Source organism: Homo sapiens, chromosome 6 (assembly GCF_000001405.40).
Source record: "Homo sapiens chromosome 6, GRCh38.p14 Primary Assembly".
Taxonomy (NCBI): Eukaryota; Metazoa; Chordata; class Mammalia; order Primates; family Hominidae; genus Homo; species Homo sapiens.
Window position 1 is genome coordinate 157894893 of NC_000006.12, and position 25260 is coordinate 157920152.

Here is a 25260-nt window from a genome sequence, read left to right on the forward strand (position 1 = left end):
CTGATTAATAGAAAGGAGAGGTTTATAGGCAGTAACATTTTACAGACTGGGAAGAGACCTTCTCTGGTGTGTGCTGAAGATGAAGGGACACATTGGGTTTTATGCCTCACAGGGCCTGTATCACACTAGAGTCACATATATTTAGGAGTTTGGGGGCAAAGCGATACGTATGTATGAGAGGAGTCAAGAGCATGTGCAGTAGGTAAACATATGTAACATCCATCCTTGTTGACTTTGAGGTGAGATTTTAGCATTAAAATGAGGTGGAATTGGGCTCTTTATGTGAAAAGGTGAACTGTGGGACACAGTTTGTGCACAGCCTCAGCGAGCTGCTGAAACTGGCTTTAAGGCCTGCAGTTGCTTGTCAGAAGAAAATGTTTCTAAGGCCAGTCCTCTGCCCAGTCAGAGTTGTCTTGGTCTGGGTTGTAAATCAGAGTTAGGAGGGGTCTGATAGGTCCTGTTCTTAGTGAGTTTAGAGCCCTAGTAATTTAAAAAGTTGCTCTATTCCCTTAACCTTAGGATCCATCTTAGTTGATAAAGCAGTGTCTGTTTTGGTCTGTCCGATCACATGGTATTATAGTACCCAAAGACTGAAAACAAGATAAATGAACATCAGCATATACTGGTCAAGTTGTAGGAAATATATACAATGGAATTTTATGGAGACAATGTGAAAGAATATTGTGTCCATATGTGCTGATGTACCTTGCAGAATGTTTTATGCTGTTAAGAGAAAAAAAAAAAGTACCGAGCAAAAATAATACAATTTAGGCCAACTTAGTGTTTAAAAACAAAAAGGATCTATCTCTGTCCATGGGATGTTTGAGTAAGTATATACAAGGAATTTGTTAGTAGCATGAAACAAAAATTATAGTAGGCCATTGTTTCAGAGTTCCTGCACTAGGCCCCAGCAGACCAGGCCAAACCAGAATGGAGTTCCTTGTGCTAGATGCTCCATAGTCAAACTGAAACTTGAAGGAAGCAGATAGGTCCCAAAACAAACTGATTTTTTCTCGAGAACAGGAGATCCCAGTCTACCTGAGTTAGCATAATAAGGAGTCCCCTCTGCTTTAACCCTTACGAAAAAGTAACCTGAAGTAAACTGATGTTAACCATCAACTTTTTTTCTGTTGTTCTATTTCCTTATTAACCCATCCTTAAAAACCAAGTGTTCTGTTAATGCCCAGTGGGAGTGCTCGTTCTAGATTGTAGGAAGGAGGCTGCCCAGATTCATGAATCTCAAGTAAAGGCCAAGTCGATCTGTAACTGAATTTGTTGTAATTTTGTGTCTTTTGACAGTAGTAGTTCCTTAGAATGACTAGCATCTCAGGATGTTAGGCGTATTTCTCAAATTGCATATACTTTTATTGTTTGAATTTTTTTTATTATACATGTATTCCATTTCAAATTAAAAAGCCTACTTAAAAATACAACAGATCGCTATAAAGCAGTTAGAAATAGGTCCTCATGTTGAGTGGGAAAAAGAAAACTTGCAAAGAGATACATACAGTATGACATCCTTTAGGTCAATTTTAAAAATATAAAGCAGTTGTTTGTGAATGTGTACATGTGCAGCTGAAGTATGAAAACACACATAGGAATGGATACAGGTTCAGAAAAGTAGTGGTTACTTCTGGAGAGAAAGAAAGAGAGGGCTGTAGCTGCATCTAATAGTTTCTTTGTTGCTGTTTTCAAAGTTCCTAAGCAAATACGGTAAAATGTGTTCACATCAGTAAAATTAGATTGATGCTACCTTTTGTGCTTTCCTACATGTTTGGAAATTAAAATATTATGTATGTAAAATTGTTTTGAATACATTTCTATTAATTGTTTTTAGTACTCCTGTTGTATTCAATTGTGTCAGTTCATTATTGAATTGAGTCATGGTTTCCAAAAGTCACAAAAATTCTCCTTCTTTTTACCCCTCTCAATAGGTTGGCAGTGGCAATGACCCCTGGTCAGCCTGGAGTGCCTCCAAATCTGGGAACTGGGAAAGCTCAGAAGGCTGGGGGGCCCAGCCAGAGGGGGCTGGAGCCCAAAGAAACACAAACACTCCCAACAACTGGGACACTGCCTTCGGCCACCCCCAGGCCTACCAAGGACCAGGTGAGGAGAGGGGTGCAAGGTCCCACCCTGCCCGCCCATGGCTGAGTGGGAGAGACAGGGAAGACCGAACTGTTTTTGCTGTTCCCACACTCAGCACAACACAGAACAGTTTTGTGACCACAGCATGGGAAGGGAGGATTGCCCCACCCACCAAGCAGCTGTGCAGCAGACACCAGCTGAGTGTCCTACAGTCATGACACTGTCTACCTGGAGTCAGATCAAGGGGGTTCCCACCACTCCCACCTTGGGTTCAATTAATCTGCTGGAGCGGCTCACAGAACTCAGGGAAACACTTTACTTACTACTGTCAGTTTATTACAAAGCTCAATTTACAGGATGCAAATAAAGAGCCAGATGAAGAGATGCATAGGGCGAGGCATGGGGAAGGGACGCAGAGCTTCCATGCCCCCCTGCCCCAGGTGCCCCTACATGTTCAGCACCCCAGAATCTCTTTTCCTGTAGCTCAAGGATTTTTACGGCGGTTTCATCACATAGGCATGATCGATTATTGTTATTATTATTCTTTGAGACAGAGTTTTGCTCTCGTTGCCCAGGCTGGAGTGCAGTGGCACAATCTCGGCTCACTGCAACCTCCGCCTCCCAGGTTCAAGTGATTCTCTCACCTCAGCCTCCTGAGTAGCTGGAATTACAGGAGCCCACCGCCCACCGCCACACCCGGCTGATTTTTTGTATTTTTATTAGAGGCAAGGTTTCACCATGTTGGCCAGGCTGGTCTCAAACTCCTGACCTCAGGTGATCCACCTGCCTCAGCCTCCCAAAGTGCTGGGATTACAGGTGTGAGCCACCATGCCTGGCCGGCATGATTGATTATTAACTCAACCTCTGGCCCCACTTTTCTTTCCAGAGAATGGGAGGTGGAGCTGGAAGTTCCAAGCTTCTAATCCTGGCTTGGTCCTTCTGTTGACCAGCCCCCATCCCACCAGGAGTCACCTCATTTGAACAAAAGATGCTCCTACCACCCGGGAAATTCCAAGGGTTAGGAGATCTGTGTCAGGAGCCAGGGTCAGAGACCAAATATCAGAACAAAAGATACACCTTGCACACCTAACATTCAGGAAGTTACAAGAGTTTTAGGAGCTCTGTGCCGGGAACTAGGGACGCAGACCAGATGGCTATTTCTTACCTCACAATACCACTCTGGGTCATTGAGTTGAAAATAGATTTTATTCAAAAGAACTGCTTGCAGTTGCCCTTATTCACTAGTAGCAAACCTGGATTCAATTGTAGATGGTCATTAACTCTAACTTTAGTTCAGTCTTACTTATCTGTGTGAAGTCACAGATTCAAACGCTGGGTTGGTAAAGTAAAAGCAGAATGGGCGGTGGAGGCTGCAGAAGGCTGAGGGCCCCTGCTGTCGCCCGTGGATCACTGCATTTGCAGGGAAGCTGAGCCCACGTTCTGATCTCCACATCTTCAGAGAGATGAGAAGTCTTGGTTATTTGTCACCTTCTGATTTTAACATCTCAGCAGCTAACACGTTTGTTTTAAAATCTTGAGCCAGAAACGTGTATGTGGATGGGATGTGGCTCATCCTGCTGGTTTAAGACCTCTGCATTCACTGTTTTAACTTCCTGTTTGACTAGGCTATGAATAGAAATACTGAGGCAGAAGAGAAATGTGTGGAATGGGAAATAATTTGGGAATTAAGGGTATTTATGTCTGATCTGAAATTAAATAAGAAGGTAGTCTCCCATTATTTTTTAACAATTCCTGAACCCTGTCTCCTCTGTAAGCACATTGGGCCAAGAATTGAATGTCTGTTCTAAACAGCAAGGACCTCACTTGTAAGCCCAAAGCAGGGTGCAGGTCCCGGCTGAAGGCTGGCAGTCATAGACAGGAGCTGCCTGTCAGCAGGACCAGGGGTGTGGGCTGGGTAGAAGCGTTGGGAGACTCCTGGGGTCTGGCTCTCTGGTCACTTGGCCCACATCCTTCTCATAGTTTGTTCTTCTCCCATTTGGCATTTGTCTCTCGGCTTCTCCATAATGGCACTCTTAGGACCTGACACTAAAGGACACTCAGGCCGTTAGAGTAGGGGAGGAAGGAGAAGGAGGAGAGCCCACAGGGGAGGAAGGAGAAGGAGGAGAGCCCACAGGGGAGGAAGGAGAAGGAGGAGAGCCCACAGCACCTTATCTGACACGGGGATTATTGTCAGAATAGTAGCTACTGATGCTGCTTAATTACTTCTTCACTCTCATCTTTTTCTCCCACACCCCAACTCGGTCTTTTTAATGTCCCCCTCGTTGCCCTTCTCTCCCCTTTATTGTTAGTGTTAAACAGCTGCTTTTCAAAGTTCTGTCGTCCCTTTCGTCCTCCCCAAGCCTCTAGAATTAAAGGGTATTCTGCTTATTTGTAAATGTATAAGACTAGATTTATCAGTGTCTAGGCCTCTAGAAGTCTTTTCTACTGTGTACCACTTAACATTCTTACAGTCTGCATTTATCTGAAGTGATGTGGACTGACAGCCCTTTAAAAAAATTATCTATATTTTCACGCCTGTAATCCCAGCAGTTTGGGAGGCCGAGGCAGGCGGATCACAAGGTCAGGAGATCAAGGCCATCCTGGCTAACACGGTGAAACCCCATCTCTACTAAAAATAGAAAAAAAATTAGCCGGGTGTGGTGGCAGGCGCCTGTAGTCCCAGCTACTCGGGAAGCTGAGGCAGGAGAATGGCCTGAACCCAGGAGGCGGAGCTTGCAGGGAGCCAAGATTGCGCCACTGCACTCCAGCCTGGCCAACAAAGCGAGGCTCCGTCTCAAAAAAAAAATTATCTATATTTGAGGTATACAGCGTGATGTTGTAATATACATGTATATACTGAAATCATTACTACAGCCAAGCGCTTAACATATCCCTCACCTCACATGATTACCTAAGTGTGTGTGTGTGCGCGTGTATATGTGCAAGTGCGTGCCTGTGGGTGTGTGTGTGGTAAGAGCACCTAAAATCTCCCTCAGCAGGTTTCCCAAATATAATGCAATATCATTAACTGTAGTCCTCATGCTGTACATGAGATCTCTAGACTTATCCTACATGACTGCAACTTTGTACCTTTGACCTGCATCTCCCTAGTTCCCCGTCTCCCTGCCCCTGGTAACCACCTTTCTACTTTCTGCTTCTATAAGTTTTTTAGATTTTTTTAAAGACCTGTTAAAAGTTCCACATGTAAATAAGATCCATGTGGTATTTTTCTTTGTGTGTGATGTTGAGTGCATTTTCATATACCTCTTGGCCATTTTTTGGTCTTCTTTGGAAAAATGTCAATTTGGGTCCTTTGTCCATTTTTTAATTGAGCTTTTTTTATTTGCTATTGAATTGTGCGAGTTCATTATATGTTTTGAATATTAACAGGTTATCAGATACATGGCTCGCAAATATTTTCTCCCAGCCTATTGCGGGATCTGGCCAGCAGCCCGCAATGCAACGGGGTTCTCTTTGTGTTCCCAGGCGGATCGGCCCGTTGAGAAATAATAGACACACACAAGATAGCGAAAGCTGGGTCCGGGGGGGTCACTGCCTTCTGGTCCTGCAGTGCCAACAATGCACTGGATATACCAGCATTTATTATTAAGTTTAGTGAGGGCGGGGGTAGGTTAGTGAGGGATTTAGGGTCATTTGATTATGAGGTGAGATGGTCACATGGGGATGAAGTAATTCTTTAACATAACATCTGTATGCAGAAGTACAGTATACAGAGATAAGAATTTACAATATAGTGTATGCATCAGTAATTTCTGACAGAGCCTTAAAACAGAAACACAGTCTTTCCATAACCTATGATTAGCAAGATATTAATCAGCAGTAACAGTTGCAGCAAAAGCTGGTTACAAACAATCCGTAGAAACAGGACGTGAAGCTAGACAACCTGTTAGACCAGAAATTCTCAGAAGGGAGTATGCCTTAACCCTAAAGAGGCCCAGAAGAGCCCTGGCAAGATGAGGGCGTTTATAGCCCTATCTTATCCATATGGACGGTGCCCCCATGTGTCTGTTTATAGGCTCTTTACAAGGGTCACTTTCCATTCCCAGAGCTATGAATATCTGCTTTTCTGGGATAGGAATCTTGGTGATGTGAAACCTCCCTGACTGCACATCCATTCATAGGCTCTCTGCAGGGGGAAGCACATCACATGCTGTTGGCTCATTCTGGCAGTCCCACCTGGCACTGTCTTTACACAATCCTGCATGCAATTTTGTATTTACAATAATCAGGAGCATTTCATCTTTTATTCCATAGCAATAGTTTCAGGGGGTCTCCCTACACCAGCCCATAGGCTACCTTTTCATTTTGATTGTTTCCTTTGCTGTTCAGAAGCTTTTTAGTTCCATGTAGTCCCGCCTGTTATTTTTGACTTTGTTCCCTGTGCTTTTGGTGTAATACTCAAAAAAACATTTGCCAAGGCCAGCGCCAAGGAGCTTTTCCCCTGTGTTTCCTTCTAGGAGTTGTGTGGTTTCAGGTCTTCCATTTAGGTCTGTAATCTATTTTAAGTTGATTTTTGTGTGTGGTGTAAGACAAGGTCCAGTTTTATTCTTTTGCATGTAGATACCTGGTTTTCCCAGCACGACTTACTAAAGAGACTGCCCTTTCTCCACTGTGTCATCTCGGTGCCCGTGTCAAAAATTTAAAAGTAATCTGATAGCCCTCTTTAAGTTGCTTCTGATTTGTCTTTTGCACTAAAAGAATCTGTAATTCAAGGCTTAAAATTGACTACACAGCCTTTACTCTTAACATCCATATTATACTCCTATACTATACCCTTTTCTCCATCAAAAAAAAATTGATTTGCCCAGTAGGTAGTTACTGTCAGAAAATTAAGTAATTTCATTTTTATTTTGGTCTTTTTTTTTTTTTTAACTGATGATCTTCCATTTTCACCTCTAGCAACTGGTGATGATGATGACTGGGATGAAGACTGGGATGGGCCCAAATCCTCTTCCTACTTTAAGGATTCAGAGTCAGCTGATGCAGGCGGCGCTCAGCGAGGAAACAGTCGTGCTAGTTCCTCATCCATGAAAATTCCCCTTAACAAGTAAGTTTAAAGGGGAGCCAGGGAACCAGGGCCGTGGTAGAAGTATACATTAATACAAAGTATATACCCTACCAAGAGGCAGCTGGCCTTTTCCCTTTCCAGTGATCTCCTAAGTTTTGGATATGATTCAGTTATTTTTATTTGGATCTTAACTGAGAAGCTTACTTAAAAAAAAAAAAGGATTTTTGATTTACAAGGTTAATAAGTGAAATATTTATTTTATTTAATGATTTCCCAAACTGTTTTCATTACTTCTAGCTTTATCAATTTATGACATATTAAGGTTTCATTGCTAATGTCACAGGAAAGCTAAAAAGAATAATAATAACAACTCTCTTTTAAATGTTTTACTGTTTTGTTAATCACTTGCCATGTGCCAGGCATTGTGCAGAGAGGTTTGTATCATTCGCATGTAGCCCTCATATCCCTTTGTGGTACATAAAACCCCTGTTTTACTGCAGGCAAACTGATGCCCAGAGAGACGCATCGAGTGTTCCAGTCAGGAAGCCAGGCCCTCAGGCGCCAAAGCACGTGTTTCAGCTCCTGTGCCTAAAAACGTGGTCCGGAGCTTTGTGTTAGCTTAGGTTTCTCTTAGATTTAAAACAAAAAAAAAAGTGTTGTGTTTTATTTTTTTGTTTTGAGACAGGCGTCTCGCTCTGTCACCCAGGCTGAAGTGCAGTGGTGCGATCTTGGTTCACTGCAACCCCAACGTCCCGGGTTCAAGCAATTCTCGTGCCTCAGCCACCTGAGTAGCTGGGATTACAAACATGTGCCACCGCGCCCAGCTAATTTTTGTATTTTTAGTAGAGACGAGGTTTTACCACGTTGGCCAGGCTGGTCTCAAGCTCCTGGTCTCAAGTGATCCGCCCGCCTCTACCTCCCAAAGTGCTGGGATTACAGGCTTGAGCCACCACACCTAGCCAAAAAAAAAAAGTTTTTAACAGTACTTGTAGATACCCTACTTAACAGGAAAGCATGTGGGCACCAGTGACCACTGTAGGATTCTTTGGAGAGACCTAAATAAGGCTGTAGTCTATGCCAGTGTAGCTTGAAGGAGATATATTAGTAATTTATGACTTCCATCAGAATTTTCAAGTACTCCTTCCAGCAGTTATGTTTAGTTTATTTTTTGAAATTACTAATACTTTTTCCCAATATTCCAATTCCATGATTCAAGGCAGATATCAAAGAATGTTAATCTGTGTCTGGAAAAATTAAAAACATAACATTTGACATATATTTAGACATCAAGATCTAGGTCTAGATCTAGTTTAATAAGTCCTACAAGTTCTCCAAAGTATATTTAAATAGCTTCAGTGATTAAATGAGTTCTCTTTTGACTGCACACTTTTGCTGCCTCTTACCCAGTTTCTTCCATTATATATTTTCCTGCTCAATTGCATGCATAATAAAGTGAATAATTCTCTGTCTTGTTAGTCAACTGTGTCTTGTTTCAGAGTCAAATTTGAAGTTTTCAGTCATGGTCAGTAGTGATGTGCATCATTGTCAGCTGTTCTTTAAATGTGAATATAAAGTATATTGAAAATTCATATAAATTAGCCCCATTTTGAAAACGAAGGAAGCAGAGACTGAGAAAAATGAGTGGCCACGTTTTCATGGCTGATGAGTGAGGTTCCAGCTCATGCCTGGGGGTCTCTGACTCTGGTTTTTGGTGCTCTCCTCTGCTCCACACTTGCTCTCTGATTTGCTTATAACCTTAAGGCAAGTTTCGTGACCTGTTGGAACCTCAGTTTCTTCATCTCGAAAGCAAGGAGGTTGGCTTTAAGAATTCTTTCTGCTCTAAAATATCATTCCAGGCTGAAACCACATTAAAGCAGTCCTAACTTGAACCTGTGCCTCTGAGGCATCTCTGTCTCTCTGTAGTGCTGTGAACGATTTAACACCCTGTGTATTTGTATTTAACTAAACTGTATAAATGAGTCACTTAAACTTAAAACAATTATAAAAAATGTTTTTAAGTATTAACACTTTTTCAGCAATTAATCCATTTTATATGACAGCTGTATTCTAGTCATGGAACATAAATCTTATACTAGAAAAAGAGATCTGAAATTAAATATACTTGAGCACTATAAGAATTCACCTTGGGCCAGGTGCAGTGCCTCATGTCTGTAATCCTAGCACTTTGGGAGGCCGAGGCAGGCAGATCACGAGGTCAGGAATTCGAGACCAGCCTGGCCAACATGGTGAAACCTCAATCTGTACCAAAAATATAAAAAAGTAGCTGGGCGTGGTGGCACGCCTGTAATCCTAGCTACTTGGAAGGCTCAGGCAGGAGAATCGCTTGAACCCGGGAGACGGAGGTTGCAGTGAGCCGAGATGGCACCACTGCACTCCAGCTTGGGCGACACAGAGACTCTGTCTCCAAAAAAAAAATAAAAGGCATCTTGATGATGCTGAAATAATTAATACATTGCTGTCCTCAAATTTTTCTGTGGTCCATAACAGTGCCCAAAAATTGAAATGCTTACAAGCTGGTCAAGGAGTTGTCATGATATATAATCCCCACAGAAGCGCACCTGTAGTCCCAGCTACTTGGGAGACTGAGGCAGGATAATCGCTTGAACCAGGAGGTGGAGGTTACAGTGAGCCGAGATCGCGCCACTGTACTCCAGCCTGGCGACAGAGTGAGACTCTGTCTCAAAAAAATAAATAAAATAGAGTAATTAATAAATAAAAGTGTTGCAGGTTAGCCTAATTCATTAAGCATTCAGTATGCTCCCAAAACTCCTCCAGGTCCTGAAAACACAAATGCTTCCTCTAAGTCCCTCTGGCTGCTGTAATAGGTAAATGGATAGCGGCAGTCAGGTGTGATGAATAGAATCACAAAATATGCTCAAAATGCCTAGGAAGACTCTACCTGCGGCTGCAGGGAGTACTTCCAAAGAGAGGATGACTTAGTTGCCAATGACTGAAATGTACTGAGTACATACTAGGTTCTTTACATAAATCTTTAATTCCCTTATCACCTTAGAAGGTAGGTCATTCTGGTCTCATTCTTCCACAAGGAGATTTCAGCCCCTAAGGCTACCTAAGTGTTGGAGTCAGAATTCAAACCCCATGCCATCCAGCTGCAGGACACATCTGGTCTCTTGTGTAAGCTGCGTTTTAAAGGAATGTCTAGAGAAAGGAGACTCAAGGGAAGTCAGCTGAGAATGCAGGAAAAGAAGACACGGGCCCCTGAGAGCATCACACTGGCCTTTGGCTTGGCACATGAATGAAAGTAGAAGCAATGCGACTGGAACTTCGTAGAAATAAGATTCCTTTTCCCATTGTAGATATTTTGCTTCCTTTTCTTCTGTTTACTAAAAGAAAAATTCTAAAACCCAAATTAATCTTGTCTTTTTCAGTAGCCCTTTGGATGGCTATGTTCTAGCTGTCCTCTAATTTCAGAAATGTCCTTTGGATATAGATGTGATTTCTGGAAGTAGTCAAGTTTATTTAAGTTTTTGAGTCTTAAGTGACCTCCCCCCCACCCCCTCCCCATAGCCAAATTTATTGATTACACTTTGGGTCTCTACTAAAGAGACTTGTTTTCCGCTGTCATGAACTGCTTCTGAAGGCAATTCCAAAAGAAACAAGCACATATGCTGATGAGCAGGACAGCCCCTTTGGGACAGTTGTGGCCTCTGGAGAGAGCCTGTTGAAAGGCAACTTTAATTTGGATGTAGAAATGCCAGCATGTGGCTATTGCCCCCTGTGGCCAACTCAGATTGGCGTGCTCACTACTCACTGCCCCAGGGAACTAGGGGGGCGTTTTTTCAGGTCTGCCCTTCACTCTGGGGTGACCGAATGTTTCAGACACAGTCAAGCAAATAGAGTGCCCGTAAACATCACACCTTCTGGAGTCAAACTGTTCTGTTTACCAGATCAAGCTTAATTAAATGCCTAATTGGCCATTGAACAATCTGATTACATTAGGTTTCATTTACCACAGTTTCCAGTTCTAGTGCACCCGAAAGACAGGACAAGGTTAAAACTGGTAAGTAAATGTAGACGAGAGTTGTAAAATTCTTACAAGGAAAGTCTTAAGACTGATGAACATTTATATTCATGATTAGATTTCCTGGATTTGCGAAACCTGGCACGGAACAGTATTTGTTGGCCAAACAACTAGCAAAACCCAAAGAGAAAATTCCCATCATTGTAAGTTTGTTTATTTTTGTTTGCTTTCTTTCTGATTAAGCTCTTTCTTATACCGTACTTTAAAGCTAAGCGAGTTATTCATCTTTTGGAAAGTATTTTTAAATATATTTAATGCCCCACATAACTGATAATATATGTTAGTGTTGTAGGAGTACTGAAGATAATTAACACAAATTAATGCCTGTCATTATATTGTTTATTCTTTATCTTTCAGACTTTTAGTATTGAACAAATATACTATTTTGATCATTTTTTTCTAAAGTGTCTTGAAGTGTATTTTACATAGTTTTTCTGCCAGCCCTATATGTTTAACTGATGAACTCAATTCAAATATTTATGTTTCTTCCCTTGTAAAGTACATGTATGTTATCAGAATAAGGTACCCTTTCAGATATATGGGTAATAGTGTTTTTGGTAATAGTGTTTTTTCCAGTAAACCAGCTGTCAAATTGAGATAAGGAGCTACCAAATGGAAGCTGGGAGTTAAAGACATCATTGAGAATATCTGTCTTAGAATTACTTGGTTATTGCATAATGTGACACAAGCCCTTCGGTTTCATTCCACATTTTGATTGGTGGTAGATTTTCTGTCTAGGTGATATTTAGTTGTAGATTCCCAAATGAAATTCTGGAAAAGAGAACTGTAGCTATCTTCTGATCCTATTGACTTAACCCTGTAACAATTAGATTGGGAACCTGAAGCCTTGAGTGTTCTCATCCTGGACTCAATCGAGGATGAGGAAACATCTGGTCTTATTCTGTAGTCTTTGGAAACTTGATAAAATTGCAGGAATAGTATTAGATTCTCTAATTACTTGTGCCTGCATGTTTGAAAAACTCCAAATCCTGGAAGCCTCCAAGCTGAAGAGCTGTAACCAAGAGCCCTTTTTATGCTTTTTCCCTCAAAGCAAATTTGGGATAATTAACTTCTGAGTAGTTATATTAAAGATTTTTTTTTCCTGTTTTCTCTGGACTTAATAAAAATTGAACATGTACCATTATTCTTTTCATGACATTTAAAACTCCTCAAAATCAAGAGCGCACAGCTCTGCCTCAGTTTTGTTTTTTTGTTTGTTTGTTTGTTTTTAAGACAGAGTCTCACTCTGTCACCCAGGCTGGAGTGCAGTGGTGTGATCTTGGCTCACTGCAACCTCTGCCTCCCGGGTTCAAGCAATTCTCCTGCCTCAGCCTCCCGAGTAGCTGGGATTACAGGCATGCACCACCACGCCTAGCTAATTTTTTTTGTATTTTATAGTAGAGACGGGGTTTCACCATATTGGCCAGGCTGGTCTTGAACTCCTGACCTTGTGATCCGCCCACATTGGCCTCCCAAAGTGCTGGGATTACAGGTATGAGCCACTGCGCCCGGCCTGCCTCACATTCTTAAAGGGGACTTTGTCCCAGGTTTGCAGTGGTGGTACAGAGCTAAGGGTTCCAGCCTTTCATTGACCGGCAAGTTTTAAGTAGAACTGCACCCATGCACCCAGTAGGCAGGTCTGCCTGTGTGGGCGTCTATACATGGAAGAAGCTGAGGAAAGCCACCGCGTCTTCAGGAGGCCCAGAGAAAGCAGAGACTAACTCTTTGCTCTAAAAGTGCAGTAACCTTGCCCACTCATGAAACAGAGCCCCGTGAAATTGGGCCTTAGCCAAGCACAGTTGCTGCTCTCGGCCCACTCACTGAGGGAGGTCCCGAAAGTCATCTCCTCTGCAGCTTTCAGCTAGTTTCTTGGATCTGGGCTCTCCCTGAGGGGGTTATAGTAATTGTTCTCAGAGATTTTAGTCTCTTTTTAAACTACTCTTATCCTTGGAGTAGGTCACCTTCCTGACCTAACAGCCTCTGAACTTTAATATCCCAATCCGCTTTTCCCATCTTCCTCTTAAAAAAAAAAATTAGGACTGGGTATACCTTTTTTTCCTTTTTATGTCTGTCTGGCCTTGCCTCTCTGAGGTCTCAGCCGAAACAAATCTCTCTTCCTTCAGCGCAATCTGTGTGATTTTTCTCATTTTCTTTTTACTTTCTTATGGTACTTTTTCAAGTCTGCAAGAATAAAACCTGTTCCATAAATTATTTCATTCTCCTTGAATCTCTGAATGAATCTCTGAGTGAATCTGCTTCCTGAATAGTGGTCCTTTTACAGTCCATGTGTTTGTTTTTTCATTCTCTTCTTGGATTATAACTCAATTATTTTTCATTTTCAAGCCAAGAAGATAGATAACATTCTCAGTATAATAAGGACTTCTATTGCTCTGAAATGTGTTTTGATAAGAGCTACTGTCCTGCAGTCTGAACCTCTAGAATCTGTCATTGTGATCAAAGTTTATGAAATGAATGAGGCAGAACCAACTTGAGACTATTGGTGACTCAGGTAGTGATTCCAGAAGCCTGTACATGAGCTCCAGCATCCAGGTTCCTCTGCAGCTGCCCCCATGGCCTTGGATGCTGTTTTAAATAAGATGAAAAAACCAGGTTTGGGACAGCAGACCTATTGTCACCTAGCAGTGCCTAGAAGAAATGATCCTCAGGCTCAAAACTTACACGAGGTCTCTACACCCCCACATAGAATTTAGCTGGTTTCCCTTCCTCACCTCCCACCACAACTAAAACCCCAGTGAGCTAGTGTAAGCCTCGCCTGAATTTGTGAACTTTTGCCCTAGTCACAGATAGAAGAGAAGGCCAGTGAGAAAAGAATGGAGGCCTACCCTCTTCAGGCAAGCCTTGCCCAGGTGGACGTGATACCCGGGGGTTGGAAGTGAGCCAGCCCACTGTGCTTAGGCACATAGCAGTCCACGGAAGAAAACAGCTAGCCTGGTTCTTGCTTTTAAGATGTAGTACCTCCCCCTCCCCCCACCTTGCCACTAGTAGTAAAACAATGACTATCAGGCTCTGGCCAATCTGATTAATCGTTTCTATGAGCCAGAACAATGCTACTCAAAGTATGGTCCACAGACCACTTGCCCATCTGAAAACTGCTTGTTCCTGATCCACCGTGAGATAGGTACAGTACATGAGAATATTTTGAAAACTTGAGGACAATTTGGTATTGTTGAAAAATCAAAATGTGTAATGTTATATTTCACCAAACTATTAGTCTGTGATAGATTCGAAATTTTTAAAAACTAGTCCTTCATCACGTGTAGCTTGAGACAGCTAGACTAGAAAGAAACATTGTCTTGTAACCAGCACTGTCCTTGGGAGAGGGAAGCTGGTGTCTCCTCTCCATGGGCTGAGCTACTCACGTGGGAGCAGAAGGGTTTCCCACAGGTGTGTTCTTTAAACATAATATCTAACAGGAACAGAAACCATTGAACCATTTATGTACCTTTCAAAGAGGAACAAGAATGACCCTCCAAAGGACTTCTCATTCTGAAAAGAATTACTTGCTGATTCACATCAATTGTATTTATTATTTTTCCATGTAACAAAATTACTTCTTTCTGGAACATTGGCATAGGTTGGAGATTATGGCCCAATGTGGGTTTATCCTACCTCTACTTTTGACTGTGTGGTAGCAGATCCCAGGAAAGGCTCCAAAATGTATGGTCTAAAGAGCTACATCGAATATCAGCTAACACCTACTGTAAGTATCCACGTTATCAAAAGCAGAATCATGTTTGGATCACTGATTGCAGCTTGCTTTTTTCTTCATTTTCTAGAGTTGGCATTGGTAACCTTTTCTCTTTCCCTTATTTTGTAGAACACTAATCGATCTGTAAACCACAGGTATAAGCACTTTGACTGGTTATATGAGCGTCTCCTGGTTAAGTTTGGGTCAGCCATTCCAATCCCTTCTCTTCCAGACAAACAAGTCACAGGTGAGTGTGTGTAATGCTAAACCCAGGATGACAAATAGAAAGACTCCAGTCAGATTATCTTCCTGTAAGTCAGTGATGGCATTTTCCATCCTGTAGAGCAGCAGGATGCAGGAGTTGGAAACAGTAATTAAATACAGCTATGAAGAGAGAACCATTGCATGTTGTACATCTATCTGGAAGTTGCCTAAACGTCTCACAAGAACGTTTAATGTGCAAATCACAGGTTTTGGTATGTGTCTGGAATTCCAGCAGTCATTGTCTTCATTGCTGTACCTTTTCTACAAAAGAAATGTGTACATTTAAAATATGTGAAAAATGACACCTGAAAAAATAGAAATAATTCAAATAGCCTAAAATGGAAATAAAAATGTATGACCCACATGATGCAAACAGGTTATGCAGATGAGCTGCATTATTTCATTAGATGAGTGAGCACTGGACAGAGAAGCCACAGAACTACTAAGTGTTAATGAAGGAAGAAGCTGCCAGGTTTTCTACTTATTTTGATTATTACCCTCTCCCTTTTCTTGTTTTTTAAAAGTGCCATTTTCTATTTATTTTGATTATTACCCTCTCCCTTCTCTTGTTTTTTAAGTGCCACATTCCCTCCCCTCCCCCAGCCCCAAGAATCTTTTGGTAAGTAACCCATAGTGTTACTAGAGCACCTTGTAAGTATGCAGGGCACCTTGTAAGTATGCAGGTAGAAAGGGTTTGTTTTTGTGTCAGGGAATTGTTTTTGTTTTTAATCTCCAGCCTAGGGTAGACTCTGCTACTCTATGTAGTCACTGAGGGACTCAGCATGTGTGTGTTAAAATAAAGGTTGTGTGCCAGGTGCAGTGGCATCCCAGCACTTTGGGAGGCCGAGGCGGGCGGATCACGAGGTCAGGAGATCGAGACCATCCAGGCTAACACGGTGTAACCCTGTCTCTACTAAAAAATTAGCCCGGTGTGGTGGTGTGCACCTGTAGTCTCAGCTCCTAGGGAGGCTGAGGCAGGAGAATGGCATGAACCCGGGAGGCAGAGGTTGCGGTGAGCCGAGATTGCGCCACCGCACTCCAGCCCAGGCGACAGAGCGAGACTCTGTCTCAAATAAATAAATAAATAAATAAATAAATAAATGTTGTGAAGAAACAGACTTAAAGGTTAGACAGAGTTTTAGTATATTGCTAGAAAATGTTCACATACATGAACTAGTGAAAATAGAAAGGAGTGGATTGTGAGAGGAGGTCTTCAAAGGTCAGAGCCAGAGAGGCCTGTAAGAGATGTAAAAGAGACACTGAGATGCTCACCTGAACCTAGGGAGAAGAAACATGGAGGGCTGAAGGAAGGGTTCTTTCCCCAAAGGTCAGGGAAGACAAGAGGCGGTGGAATTCTCACTGCACTCGCAAGAGTCGAGAGAAACAGTTCAGGGAGGGCCTGCGACCCTTCACAGCCAGGTGGCAGTGCCAGATGGAAACATGTCAGCACTGCCGTGGAGTTTGTCCCACGTGTTCCTGGACACTTCCCGAGTGCCTCTCATCTGTCCTCACAGATAGGCATTTTCATCTTCACTTTATAGATGAGGAAACGGAAATCCACAGACATTAAACAGGTTCCCCTCTCTATTGCTGAAAAAGGAATTCGAATCTGATCCCATAGCTTACTCTGTTTCTGTTAAGATGTGGACTGACTAATCTTTCCCTAGAATTAGTATTCATACAATGAGTAAATTATTCTCCTTAAAACATTACTTTATATTTTACTTTGTTTTATGTTTATTTTTCCCTGAAGTGTTTTGTGGAGATGGAAACTTTTGTTTTAAAAGAAGTTTTGATTTTGATTTTTTTGGAACACATTTCAAAAATTTCAAATTGTCATAGCAAAATTGAAAATGGGGCTGCACTACTGGGTAGATAAACACATCTCCCCAGTCCCCTGGGTGACACTTGAGTGGTCCCTCGTGGTGCTGGGGCGGTGGAGTGACAGCCAGATGGCCGTGGGCTGCTGCTGCCTTCTGCCCAGAGGCACTGACCGAACCCCTGCTTCTAACCCAGTTCAGACACTCCCTGTACCTCAACCCGGTTCAGACACTCCCTGTACCTCCTTTTTGTCATCCTTATTGCTTTCAATCACAGTTTTCTCTTAAAAAATACAGATTTCTTTCCATGAAAACTTCAGTTCTGCCATATAAAATTATAGTCTATTTCCTTGAATTTTGTGCTCTCCTTTATCAACTTGGTTAGCACAGTGTGTGCTCCACAGTGTTTAAATCCATGGCTTAATGGCCTATTTCAGGCTTGTAAGAAATTCTCATATCTTTTAGATTTTAATACATTGTTTATTCTGAATCAGATAATTCAGTGCTCTTTTAAAGCTTCAGAGAGTCACGGTTCTCCTTCCATACTAAGATTTGTTTAAAAAAAAATAAGTTCGGCATGCAGCCAGGGAGGAGAAAGTCATAGAAAAGCAAGAAAGCAGCAGCCCCTCGGTGTGAAGAAAGTTGAGCTTTGATTCACTAACTGGGATATGAGCCAAGGAAGCCGAACAGCACAGAAGGGCTCTATTTCCCCCTCACTTGTGTGCCTCCTGCCTGGGATGCCCACAGATCATTATTATGTAAGAATTCCCCTCTCGCTCAACTACTGGAGAAAAGAAAAAGGAATGCTTAGTAGGTGATGCTATGACATTCCTGTGGACTCGATAATTCATGAAAAAATGTACAGTTAACATTTCTTTATTTGTTTAGAGATTTTTGTTTTTTATGGAAATAATATTGAATGAATATAGTTTTATTCCTGGTACCAAACTGACATATTCATATACTTAGTGAAAACCTTAGTAAGGTTCATGGAAAACAGGGAAATAAAAGTTCCTCTTTTTTTCTAATTATTTGCAACTTGGTCTGAAAATTCTACCAAGCATAAAATAACATCTGAAGTCATAAGCTTAGAGATAAACCAGCTATGTCAGAAAAATTTTCACAAGAATAATTTTTGAATAAAATAAGGATCACTAAATTTCAACCAATGATAGGATAATGAACTCTGGGTACAACTCACCTAGCCATAATGGGGAGTTCATCGTATCCCAGGTCCAGACTGGCTTTCCGGCCAGGAGGTGAATTGTCTTTTTTCCAAGGCACAAGGCTTTGTTTCTGCTTAATCTACTGCTAGTAAATGCAAAGTTTGCAATGCTTTAGTACAATGATGGTGTCTAGACTCATTGTTCTGTTCAAGTCCACTTTTTAGGTAATAAAAGTTTTTTGATATGTAGGTGCATAATACTATCTATCTATATTTTATTTATTTATTTATTTATTTATTTTTGGAGACGGTCTCACTCTGCCACCCAGCCTGGAGTGCAGTGGCACAATCATAGCTCACTGCAGCCTTGACCTCTTGGACTCAAGTGATCCTCCCACGTAGCTGGGATTATAGGTGCACGCCACCATTGCCTGGCTTATACTCATAATTTCTAAAGGAAAGTTCAGGTTTCATTTTTTAAATTTTATTTTTAAACTTAGGTACAGTAAATTCACTCTTTTTGGTGTACAGTTCTGAGTTTTGACAGCTACCACTGCAGTCCTGCAACCACCACTACATTTCATGATACAGAACAGCTCCGTCACCTCCCCAGGTTCCCTCGTGCTGCCCATCCCCCTGGTCCTAACCATGGCAACAGCTGATGTGTTCTTTGTGTTCATAATTCTGCGTTTTCTAGGATGTCATTATAAATGGAAGCATGCAGTGTATAGTCTTTCGAGTCTGACTGCTTTCATTTAGCATAACACATTTGCAATTCAATCATTTTGTTGTGTCAATAGTTTGTTCTTTTCGTGGCCAATAGTATTCCAGTGTTTAGATATACCATAGCTTGTTTATCCATTCACTCATTGAAAGACATTTGGGTTTCCAGCTTTTGGCAATTATGAATAAAGCTGCCGTAAACATTTGCATACAGGTTTTTGTATGAATGTAAGTTTTCATTCCTCTTGGGTAAATAAGAGTAAAATGACTGGGTCATTTGGCAAGTATATATTTAATGTTTAAGAAATTGCCCAACTGTTTTTCAAAGAAGCTATACCATTTTGGAATCCTCACCAGCAATATATGAGAGTATCAGTAGTAGTTCCACATCCCTACCTGCACTTGATAGTGTCAGTTTTTCCTCATTTTAACCAGTCCGATAGGTATGCAGTGGTATCTCAGCATGGTTTTGATTTGCATTTCCTGATGGCGAGTGGGGTTGAGCATCTCTTCATGTGCTTATTTCCCATCTGTAGATCTTTGGTGCTGAAGCTTCTGTTCAGCTCTTGTGCTCATTTTTTATCAGTCTGTTTTCTTATTGTTGAATCCTGAGATTTTTAAAATATATATATGTATTTTCTAGAAACAAGTTCTTTGTTAGATAAGTGATTTGCAAATAACTTGTCGCAGCTGTGGCTTGGCTTGTCATTTTCTTTTTCTTTTTTTTTTTTTTTTTTTTTTTGGAGACAGGGTCTCACTGTCGTCGCCCAGGCTGGAGTGCAGTGGCACCATCTCAGCTCACTACAACCTTGACCTCCCGGGCTCAAGCAGTCTTCCAGCCTCAGCCTCCTGAGTAGCTGGGACTACAGGCTCTCATCAACACTTCTTGTTAATTTTTTGTATTTTTGGTAGAGACAGGATTTCACCCTGTTGCCTAGGCTGGTCTCGAAGTCCTGAGCTCAAGCGGTCCACCCACTTCGGCCTCCCAAAGTGTTGGGATTAGAGGCATGAGCTACCACACTAGCCTTGTTACTTTCTTAACAGTGTCTTTTGCATAACAAAGGCTTTTAATTTTAATGAAGTTCACTATATCAGTTTTTTCTTTCATGGACTGTGCTTGAGGTGTCATGGCTAAGAGCAGTTCACAACATTTTCTTCTAAAGGTTTTAGGCTTTTCGTTTAGATCTTTGATGCATTTTGAGGTTATTTTTGTATAAGGTGTGCAGTGTGGTAGAAGTAGTGCATTTTTTTTTCACATCGGGATATCCAGTGGGTCTCACACCATCTTTTGGAAAGACAGATCTGTTTTCCATTTATTAGAAACATGTTTGTAAGAGAAAAAAAATCAGTTGATTGTATTTGTTGGTTTATTTCTGGATTCTATTCTGCTCCATTGATTTATGTGTCCATCCTTTTCGCTAGTCCTACACTGTCTTGACTTGTGTAGCTTTATGGTAAGTCTTTAAATCAAGTAGCGTGAATCCTCCAACTTGGTTCCTTTACAAAATTGTTTTGGCTATTCTTTTTCTTTTGCCTTTCCTAGTAAATTTAAATGTCAGTTTGTAGATATTTATAATCATGCTGGAATTTTTATTGAAACCGCATTGATTCTGTAGATCAATTTTCACATCTTGATATCTCATCTTTTAATCCATATATAAAAATATATCGTATTTGATTTTCATTAGGGTTTTGTAGTCTTCAACATACAGATTCTGCATATATTTTGTTAGATTTATGTGTAAGAATTTCAGGCCAGGCGCGGTGGCTCATGCCTGTAATCTCAGCACTTTGGTAGGCCAAGGTGGGTGGATCACCTGAGGTCAGGAGTTTGAAACCAACCTGGCCAACATGGCAAAACCCCATCTCTACTAAAAAAAAAAAAAAAAAATATATATATATATATACACACACACACACAAAAATTAGCCAGGCGTGGTGGCACACACCTGTAGTCCCAGCTACTCAGGAGGCTGAGTCAGGAGAGTCACTTGAATCCAGGAGGCGGAGGTTGCCGTGAGCCAAGATTGCACCACTGCACTCCAGTCTGGGCGACAGAGTTAGACTCTGTCAAAAAAAAAAAAAAGATTTATATGTAAGAATTTCATTGGAGAGTTGTATTGTAAATGGTACTGTTTTTTAAATTTCCATTTTCTAGTTATGTATTGCATATAGAGATCGCTTGATTTTTGTATATCCACCTTTTATCTGTGGCCTTGCTAAACTCACTCAATAGTTCCAGGAGCTTTTTTGTGGGTATGGATTCTTTGGTTTTTTTGTCTTTTCTTTTTTTTTTTTGTTTGAGACGGAGTCTCGCTCTGTCGCCCAGGCTGGAGTGCAGTGGCGCTATCTCGGCTTACTGCAAGCTCCACCTCCTGGGTTCACACCATTTTCGTGCCTCAGCCTCCCGAGTAGCTGGGACTACAGGCACCCGCCACCACGCCCTGCTAATTTTTTATATTTTTAGTAGAGATGGGGTTTCACTGTGTTAGCCAGGATGGTCTCGATCTCCTGACCTCATGATTCACCCGCCTCGGCCTCCCAAAGTGCTGGGATTACAGGCGTGAGCCACCGTGCCCGGCCCTCTTTTCTTTTTTAATGTAGACAATCATGTCAGCTTGGAATAGAGAGTTTTATTTCATCTTTTCCAATCCATGGGCCTTCTACTTCTGTTTCTGCCTTATTGCACTTGCTAGGACTTCCTGTATGCTCTTGAGTAGAAATAGTGAGAGCAATCATCTTTGGCTTATTCCTGATCTTAGGGACAAAGCATTCAGTCTTTCACCATTAACTATGATGTTAGCTGTAGGTTTTTTGTTAGATGTGCTTTTATCAAGTTAAGGAATTTCTCTTCTATTTCTAGGTTGTTGAAAGTTTTTGTTCATGAATAGATGCTGGATTTTGTCCCATGTATTTTGTGTACTCATCGAGTGATTGTATGGCTTTTCTTCTGCTATTAATACAGCAAATCACACTGATCAGCTTTCCATTGCTGAACCAGCCTTACATGCCTGGAATAAACCTCACTCGATGGTGATAGATTATTCTTATATATTGCTGGATTAAATTTGCTAATAATATCTGGTTGAGGATTTGGTTCACGATGGTTATTGGTCTATAGTTTTCTTGTAATTTGTTTGGTTTTAGTATCAGGGCAATGCTAGTCTCATAGGATGAGTTTGGAACTATTCCCTCCTTGTTTATATTCTGGAAGAGATTATATAGAATTGATACTGTTCTATAAGTGTTTGATAGAACTCACCACTGAAATCATCTGGACCTGGAGTGTTCTTTGTGGGGAGGCTTTAACTATGAATTTAATTTCCTTCATAGCTATAGGACTATTCAGGCTGAGCTTTGGTAGCTTGGGTCTTTAAGGGAGTCGATTTATTTCATAGAAGTTGTTAGGTATAGTTTTAGAGTTGCTCATAGTATTTCTTTGTACCTTTAAAGATGTTAGGTCTACTCCTTCATTTCTGATTTTGATCATTGTCACCTCTCTTTTTTTCTTTGGTTTTATGTATTTTTATTTTTCTCTTTTCTATTATATTGTTTCTGCTCTTTTATCATTTCTATCGCTTGGTTTGGGTTTGATTTATTCTTTTTCTAGTTTCTTAAATATAGAAACTTAGATTATTGTTTTGAGATATTTCCGCTATCACAGGCATTAAATGCTAAAAACTTTCCTCTAAGCATGCTTTTGCTGCATTCTATAAAGTCTACCTTATTGAGTTTTCATGTTCATTCAGGTCAAAACATTTTCTAATTTTTCTCATAAGTTCTTATTTGATCCATGGGTTATTTAGAAATATACCTATATCTCAGTATCTATGGGAATTGGTTCCAGAACCTCCCACAGATACCAAAATCCATTGATGCTCAAGTCCCTGATATAAAATGGTATAGTATTTGCATATAACCTATGCACATTCTCCCGTATATTTTAAATCATCTCTAGATTAATTATAATACCTAATACAATGTAAATGCTATGTAAATCATTGTTATACTGTATTGTTTTGAGAATAATAACAAGGAAAAAAGTCCATACATATTCATTACAGAAAAAAATTTTTTCCCTCAAATATTTGCAATCTAAGGTTGGTTGAATCCATGGGTGCAGAGACCGTGGATACAGAGAACCAACTCTATGTTTAATTTCCAACTATCTGGCCATTTCCTGAATTTTTTTCTTTTGACCTCCAGTTTTATTATGTTCAGAGAACATACTTTGCATGATTTTTAGTCCTCTTACATTTATTGAGACTTATTTTATGGCCTAGCATATGGTCTGTCATAGGGAATATTCCATGTGTGCTTCAAAAGAATATGTGTCTGTAGCAGCTGGGTGGAGTGTTTCATTCATGTCAGTTAGGCTGGGTTGATAGTGTTATTCAGGTTTCTATATCCTTGCCAATTTTCTTTCTAGTTCTATCAATTATTGAGTATCGGGTATTGAAATTTAACATTATGATTAGTGGACTATCTCTCCTTTTAATTCTGTCACTTTGTTTTATGTATTTTGAGTCTCTCTTGTTAGGTAGACATACAGTTTGTAATTTTAATATCTTCCTGATGTAGTGACCTCTTATATCATGAGGTGTCCCCCATTGTCTCTAGTAAGATTTCCTGTGTTAAAGTGTACTTGTCTAATATTAATATAGCCACTCCATTTCTGTTATGGTTACTGTTTGTATGGTATATCTTTTCCCATCCGTTTACTTTCAGTATATGTGTGCCTTTGAAATCAAGCTGTTTCTCTTATAGGCAAGATAGTTGGATCTTACTTTTTTATCAAGTCTGACAATCTCTGCTTTTGATTGGGGTTTTTAGGCCATTTGTATTTAATATAATTATTGACATGGTTAGATTCACATTTGCCATTTTGTTATTTGTTTTCTGTGTTTGCTTCTTTTTCCTCCTTTACTGCCTTTTCTTTGTGTTAAATATTTTACGGTGTATTGTTTTAATTCCTCTCATTGTTTAAGCTAAATTTTTGAAGTTATTTTCATAGTGGTTGCCCTAAGGGATATAATATGCATCTTTTTTAACATCACAGTGCACTTTAGATTAATATTAATTCCAGTAAAATAAAGAAATTTTTCTCCTATATAGCTTTATTCCCTTCCCTCATTTATGCCATTATTTTTATATATATTACATCTGTATGTTATGAATCCAACAATACATTGTGGTAATTACTGCTTTCTACAGTCTTTTGTCTTTTAAAGACACTAAGGAAACAAATTAGAAAAAAATATATCTATAGAATCTTTTACATTAATCCTTATATTTCCGGTGCTGCTTATTTGTCTCTGCAGATTCAAGTCACCATCTTTAGTAATTTCTTTTTAGCCTGAAGGACTTCCTTTAATACTTCTTATAATGCAGGTCTGTTATCAGTGAATTATCTCATTATTTATCTGGGTATGTCTTTATTTTTAGAGGATAGTCGTACCGATCTGGCTCCATTGTGTCAGAAAGCAAGTCAGCTGTTAATGCTGTTTATCTCACGTGCCCACTCTACTATGCATGATCAGTCATTCAGATATTTTTTGTCTCACTCTCTCTTCTTCCTCTGGGATTCTCATTACAAGTGTTTGGTGTGCTTGATGTATTCTAATATTTTACGTTTAAGTTTTTTTTCTCTGTGTTCTTCATGTTAGTTAACTTCTGTTGATCTATCTTCAAATTCACTAGGTGTTTTTTTTCTTCTGCTACCTTAAATCTTATGTTGAGCCTTATCTGCAGTGAATTTTTTATTTCAATTACTATACTTTCAACTCCAGAATTTCCATGTGATTCTTTTTTGGTAACTTCTCTCTCCTTTTTGAAACTCTGTGTGTTGATTCTCTGTCATATTTTTCTTTAATTTTTTAGGCTTCCTTTAGTTCTTTGAAAATCCTTATAGAATCTGCTTTATCTGCCACATTGTTTTTTTCTGCCAAATTCAACATCTGCGGACACTCAGAGATAGTGTCTATTGACTGTTTGTTTTTTTCTCAGTATGGTTCATATCTTGCTATTTCTTTGCGTATCTCTTAATTTTTTGTTGAAAACTGGACATTTTTGAGAATATATTTTAGCAACTCCAGATTCTGAGTTTACCTCTCTGAAGGTTGTTGTTTCTGCTTTTTATTTGTTAAGTAACTTGCCTAAGATTAAATCTCTGAAGTCTGTCTCCCTGGAAGTTCAGTTATTGCTGTTTGTTTGTTTGTTTGTTTGTTTGTTTTATATTTGTCTTCCTAGAGTTTGCTCCTGTGTCTGTGGATTGGTAGTAAGCCTTTGATTGACTGACAGAGGTTGTACCCAACCACCTCAGGCCAGTAAGTTGGGGCTCCTGTCCTCTGTCAATGTAACTGTAACTCGATGTAACTCATTCAAAGCTCAGGTCATTTTTAA

The 25260-nt window shown here is 40.3% G+C and overlaps 1 protein-coding gene across 2 annotated transcripts in view, besides 2 other annotated features; it reads left to right on the plus strand.

Annotated features, from left to right (window-relative positions):
• The window catches only part of SNX9 (sorting nexin 9), a 121832-nt gene that overhangs the window by 71647 nt on the left and 24925 nt on the right, over window positions 1-25260 (plus strand). For both annotated transcript variants that reach the window (NM_016224.5, XM_011535886.4), the window contains 5 exons: window positions 1935-2106; window positions 7006-7153; window positions 11236-11320; window positions 14773-14898; window positions 15016-15133. In NM_016224.5, the coding sequence (NP_057308.1) occupies window positions 1935-2106; window positions 7006-7153; window positions 11236-11320; window positions 14773-14898; window positions 15016-15133 (649 nt within the window). The remainder of the gene's footprint in view (window positions 1-1934; window positions 2107-7005; window positions 7154-11235; window positions 11321-14772; window positions 14899-15015; window positions 15134-25260) is intronic.
• Window positions 11865-12159: a silencer, noted in NCBI's record as "tiled region #15079; HepG2 Repressive non-DNase unmatched - State 15:Elon". NCBI's record gives its function as "represses a minimal TATA promoter and a strong SV40 promoter by Sharpr-MPRA in HepG2 cells {active_cell/tissue: HepG2}" and the evidence as "EXISTENCE:reporter gene assay evidence [ECO:0000049][PMID:27701403]".
• Window positions 13920-13989: a silencer, noted in NCBI's record as "silent region_17729". NCBI's record gives its function as "represses an Ori minimal core promoter by ATAC-STARR-seq in GM12878 lymphoblastoid cells {active_cell/tissue: GM12878}" and the evidence as "EXISTENCE:reporter gene assay evidence [ECO:0000049][PMID:35858748]".